At 40.2% G+C, this 6313-nt stretch overlaps 1 pseudogene; it reads right to left on the bottom strand.

The window, feature by feature from the left end:
* VN1R100P (vomeronasal 1 receptor 100 pseudogene) lies at nucleotides 4710–5142 on the bottom strand (annotated as a pseudogene).

The raw sequence follows: 6313 nt of genomic DNA, 5'->3' as shown, positions 1-6313 counted from the left end.
AGGCCGGTGAGAAGTCAGGTCACCAGCTATTGCTTTTAAAAAAGCAATAGAGGCCGGGCACGGTTGCTCACGCCTGTAATCCCAGCACTTTGGGAGGCCGAGGCGGTCGTATCACTGGAGGTCAGGAGTTCGACACCAGCCTGACCAAAATGGAGAAACCCCGTCTCTACTAAAAATACAAAAATTAGCCGGGCGTGATGGCACACGCCTATAATCCCAGCTACTTGGGAGGCTGAGGCTTAGGTCAATATTTTCTAAAAATACTGTAATTTCAGATTCACTTTAGGTGCATTCTGAAAGTAATAAGTAAACATACTTTTTATTTTAAAAATTATAATCTCTTAAATCTTGTTTGTTTTCTCTTCTTCAATGTACTGGCCCCTGTAGATAACAAAGCCCTTAAAATAGTCTTCAGAAGACAATTGTATTTATTGATCTAAAGAATAACTCTGCAGTAATTCTAAGTGTATTTGGTAGGCCGATTATTCTTTTATAGAACCCTGATAGAAGTAAAACTAGATTATCAAATTTTAAATAGCCTTACGTCTGCCGGCAATAATTTTATGGCAATATTTTTGAATTAACAGGTACTAATAAGTATGCTTTTCTCTGATATCTCACCCCCCCAACTTTTTTTTTCTTAAGACAGAGTCTAACTCTGTCATCCAAGCTGGAGTGCAATGGCACGATCTCAGCTCACTGCAACCTCCACCTCCTGGGTTCAAGCAATTCTCCTGCCTCAGGCTCTCGAGTAGCTGGGATTACAGGCGCGTGCCACCACGCCTGGCTAATTTTTGGATTTTTAGTAGAGATGGGGTTTTGCCATGTTGGCCAGGGTGGTCTCAAACTCCTGACCTCAGGTGATCATCTGCCCACCTTGGCCTGCAGAGTGCTGGGATTACAGGCGTGAGCCACCGCACCCGGCCTTATATCCCTATTTTTGGATCCCTTCATCCATCTTGAAGTATGATCATGTTTAGATATGAAAATGAACATATTTAAAATATTAGCAGGTTAAAATGAGGATATAGTGATATGTCACAAAGATGGATACGAGATGACATATCAGCATTTTTTATTTTTATTTTTTTCAGTTGGAGTCTCGCTCTGTTGCCCAGGCTGGTGTGCTGTGGCATGGCCTCCACTCACTGCAACCTCTGCCTCCCGGGTTCAAGCAATTCTCCTGCCTCAGCCTCCCGAGTAGCTGAGATTACAGGCGCCTGCCACCATGCCCAGCTAATTTTTTGTATTTTTAGTAGAGACGGGGTTTCACCATGTTGGCCAGGCTGGTCTCGAACTCCCGACTTCGTGATCCGCCCACCTTGGCCTCCCAAAGCACTGGGATTACAGGCGCGAGCCACCGCACCCGGCCCATATCAGCATATTTTACTTCGATTATTATTATTATTTTTTAGAGACAGGGTCTAACTGTGTTTTCCAGGCTGCATATGTACTCCTGGGCTCAAGACATCCTCTTGCCTCAGCCACTTAAGTAGCTAGGACTCCAGGCACACTCCATGGTGGCCTAGGTCAGCATTATTTTTTGAAGATGCAGTATCTGGGATAGATTTTGGGATCTGTACAAGATAGATGTCTATATTACACAATATTGCTAAATAGCTATGTTGCCACGAAACAACTTTTAGCATTGACTTTTATGATCTGAAGCAAAGAAATGAGTTGATTGCAGAGCTTTTCATGAAACTAAAAAGTAGAGGATAAGCTGATTATAGCTTAAAGTTATAAACCCATTATGTATATGGGGAGTTTGTTGCTTCTAAAATTTTCAAGGGATCAGCATGGACATTTTTGGTTTTTGTTTTTTTTTGACAGGATCTCGCTCTGTCACCCAGGCTGGAGTGCAGTGGCACAATCTCGGCTCACTGCAACCTCCGCCTCCCAGGTTCAAGTGATTCTCCTGCCTCAGCCTTCTGAGTAGCTGGGATTACAGGCGCGTGCCACCACACTCAGCTAAGTTTTTGTATTTTTAGCAGAGATAGGGTTTCACCATGTTGACCAGGCTGGTCCCAAACTCCTGACCTCAAGTGATCCTCCTACCTCGGCCTCCCAAAGTGGGATTACAGGTGTGAGCCACTGCACCTGGCCAACAATTTTATTGATGAATAAACATTTAACAGGAATATCATACGCAATAGAGGCAATCCGTTAGGAGATAGGAAAAAGAATAATTTCTATACAACCCATTATAGACTGGTTTTTGAGATAAGCACTGATTAGCCTCAAAAACTTGATTGCGCTATTGCTTATACATTGTTCATCCTGACCTTACATGGTAATTGGGGAGACCATCTATGTTAGCCAATTAGCTTTATTCAGAAGCAGGGGGGAAAACCCTAACTTATATGTTTACAACAGGTGGTAGTTTTACAAAATGGAGCCAGGTACCCACTGTAGATAGGCTCCTACCAACCCACAGAAACAGAGAGATACAGGTGCTATCTCTAGTGATGTTGACATTTGAAAGAGATGTCTCCCAAGTCCTTGAGAAAGATATCCCTAGGTCATTATGCTGACAAAAGGTTTATTTAGTTTCTAAAAATAAACATTTCGGGAGAAAGTACTCACAAGTTTTCTAAGGTAAATATTCTGACAAAAAGAGGAGGAAGAGAAATGCCTTGCCATATTTTCAAAGGAGGAATGCAGGCTCTCATTTTTATTTCGTATTTATCCCTATAAGGCATGCATAGAATATTCACCAGTGACCTTAATATTGGCCAAAAGAAAATTTCAGCTAATTCAAAAAATTAGGCAGGGCACTGTGGCTCACGCCTGTAATCCCATACTTTGGGAGGCCAAGGCAGGTGGATCACCTGAGGTCAGGAGTTCAAGACCACCATGGTGAAACCCCATCTCTACAAAAAATACAAAAATTAGCCAGGCGTGGTGGCGTGCGCCTGTAATCCCAGCTACTAGGGAGGCTGAGGCAGGAGAATCCCTTGAACCCAGGAGGCAGAGGTTGCAGTGAGCTGAGAACATACCATTGCACCCCAGCCTGGGCGACAGAATGGGATTCTGTCTCAAAAAAAAAAAGAAAAAAGAAAAAAGAAAATGACAGGAAATATTAAGTGTGGCAAGGTTGTGAATAAACCAAGAACTCATGCGCTGCTGGTGGGTGCTGAAATGGATACAAACATTTTGGAAAACTGTTTGGTAGCAGCTACATAAGCCTACCAGATGTCAATTTATGCTTCAATAATTTCACTTCTATGAATTTATCCATCACAAATTCATATATATATCAACAAAAGATAAGTTACATAGTTTATATAGGTAGGACTATTCATTGCTCATAAAAGCCACAAACTCAAAATTACCACATGGCCTTTAACAATAGTATGACTCAACCGGGCGCGGTGGCTCATGCCTGTAATCTCAGCACTTTGGGAGGCCAAGGTGGGCGGATCACTTGAGGTCAGGAGTTCGACACCAGCCTGGCCAACATGGTGAAAACCCATCTCTACCAAAAACACACAAAAAAATTAGCTGGGTGTTGTGGCGGGTGCCTGTAATCCCAGCTACTCAGGAGGCTGAGGCAGGAGAATCACTTGAACCCGGGAGGCGGAGGTTGCAGTGAGCCGAGATCACGCCATTGCCCTTCAGCATGGGTGACAAGAGCAAGACTCTATCTCAAAAACAAACAAACAAAAGTAAAAAACAAACAAAAAAATAGTATGACTCGATCATCTGATTATTCATACAATGGAATCATAGGAAGCAATGCTAATGAGTACCATTAATAGAATGCAATAATTAAGGTATGGTCACACACAAAAATTCTAATGGAATAGATATAAAAGCTAAATATAAAAGAATTCATGTTGATTCCATTTATATAAAGTAGCAAACAGGCCAAAATAATTTAATCCTTTAAATACTGGAAGAGATGTAAACCAAAATCTCAAGAGTTACACTCCTGCAAATAGAAACAACAGAATTATACTGTTGTAGGTAGTGACTTAGAGTGCAAAGAAGGAGCTTCTTGTGAACTCTTGTGAACAGAACAGTGTTCTGTTTTTGTATCTATGTATTACATAAAGAGCTATGTTTGTTTGCAAAATTCCAATGAGCTGTGATTTATAACCTGTGATGGCTCTTTAATTTGATAAAAATACATAAGACCAAAAGGAGTTAAAATAATTTTGGTGGGGGTAGGGAATATTGGTGCTAAGGTCATGAATGAGCTTCCACTTGTGTCTGTACAGGAGAAAACTTATAGAGCCACAGGCACAGATTAAGAAACACAGGAAATATTAGGGAATAATAACAATGTTGTAGATATTGACCCTCTGATTTGATTTTGTCATGAATACAGCAGAAAAGTATCCTATCTTGTTTTCTTTGTGATGTTTTTGCTGCTATATCTGGCAATTATAAACATGGGAAAAATCCTTTTTTTTTTTTTTATTTTGAGATAGTCTCACTCTGTCACCCAGGCTGGAGTGCAGTGCCACGATCTCGGCGCACTACAACCTACACCTCCCGGGTTCAAGTAATTCCTGTGTCTCAGCCTCCCAGGTAGTTGGGATTACAGGCCTGCACCACCACGCCTGGTTAATTTTCATATTTTTAGTAGAGATGGGGTTTCGCCATGTGGGCCAGGCTGGTCTCCAGCTCCTGGCCTCAAGTGATCTGCCTACCTCGGCCTCCCAAAGTGCTGGGGTTACAGGTGTGAGACACTGCACCCGGCTGGAAAAAATCGTATTTATCAATGTATCAGGGTCCAGCAGAGAAAAATGGAAAGCCCAATATACATTGGATAATTCATTTTAAATTCTACACACCTGTAGTTCCTGGGGCTTATCATGATGGCTTGAAACACTGCAGACACAGGTGGTGCCAACGGTCATACCCTACCAACTCTGTGAGGACAGAAACAAATTGGAATCTGAAATCATTTAGGAAGTTATATCACCTAAAATCTGCCATTGACTTGGTGCTGCATACAGAGGTGTGTCTTGGGGACACCTTTAAACAGAATGAGCAAGAAGTGGCTATAATCAGGTGTTTCTGATTCAAATCTGTGGACCTCAATCTGCACCCTGCTAAATAAAAGAAGGCACAATGGTAAGGAAGACAGAAATTTTTCAGGATTCCAACAATATTCTGTGATAAATAGACCATTCCTCCTATCCCTGGAGGCCACTCTGCCAGTTCCTAGTGATTGACATTCGTCTTGAGAGCCAGAAGATCCTGCAGAAAACACGAGGTGTAGATTGCATTAATGACATAACTGAAAAACAGTATTCTACCGAAAAATGTTGAAAGTTTTGTTTTGCTGAGAGACTTTCTAGGGTTGAATGTATAACATTTAAATAGCACTTACAATATAGGAATCGTGCCTATCATGTGGTATGTATGGTACCTTCTTTGATTTTTGTAACTGTATGATGGATTCACTGGCATAATTTTCCTTGTAGAGACAAGAAGAACTTAGATACAGAGAGGTTCAATGATTTGTCAAAATTCACAGGCATCTTCAGGGTTGAAAAGAGACTCGAATTTGACTAGGGTGGTTGCAAAGACAACAACCTAAGGACTTGCTACGCTAACAAATCAGGCAGCTGTGTTTTTAAAAAATCTAGGCCTAGTTAGTTTTGTCTGTTTACCATGCCACTGATTTCTCATCACTGGTATTTTCTTTTATAATTTTGATCAAAGCAAGTTTTTGTTTCTGTGTAAAGATTTACTGTATAGGTCAATATCCAATGTCAATAACTTTTGATATACTAATGAACTGTCGGTGCACTGATTAAAATCCTAAAGGAAACTTCCTCACATGCAAGTTGGATTTACTGAATGCAAGAATGGCTCAATATTAGTTTGGTAGCAGAAAGACTCATTTACTCACCCAACAGGAGAAAACGTACAATGGTATCTATCAAATGAATCATTGAACAATATTACTCTGTTTCTAAACTTTTATACATGAAATACTAACATGTATTAAAACGGTATAGAAACTCAATTATTACTAATTTTTGATCATTTACTCATCAATATATTAATGTACAAGTCATGCGAAGCTATTAGCAGGGAAATATAATTTGTAAAATACAATAAAATAGAAGAAATATGTAAAAACGGAATCCAGAGACCATAAAATCTTGAGCATTATTGATGTTGAAATCATAGGGAAATGAACTTCTACAACTCAATAGCAAAAAATAACTCCTAAAACAAAACAAAACAAAAATAGACCTAATTTAAAAATGGGCTAAAGATCTGAATAGACATTATTATAAAGGAGACATTCAAATGCCCAACAGTTATATAAAAACATGCTCAATGTCAC

The sequence above is a fragment of the Homo sapiens genome, chromosome 19, assembly GCF_000001405.40.
Source record: "Homo sapiens chromosome 19, GRCh38.p14 Primary Assembly".
In the NCBI taxonomy this organism is placed as follows: Eukaryota; Metazoa; Chordata; class Mammalia; order Primates; family Hominidae; genus Homo; species Homo sapiens.
The sequence above is the reverse complement of the archived record's forward strand: the minus strand, read 5'-3'. Positions and strand labels throughout refer to the sequence as shown.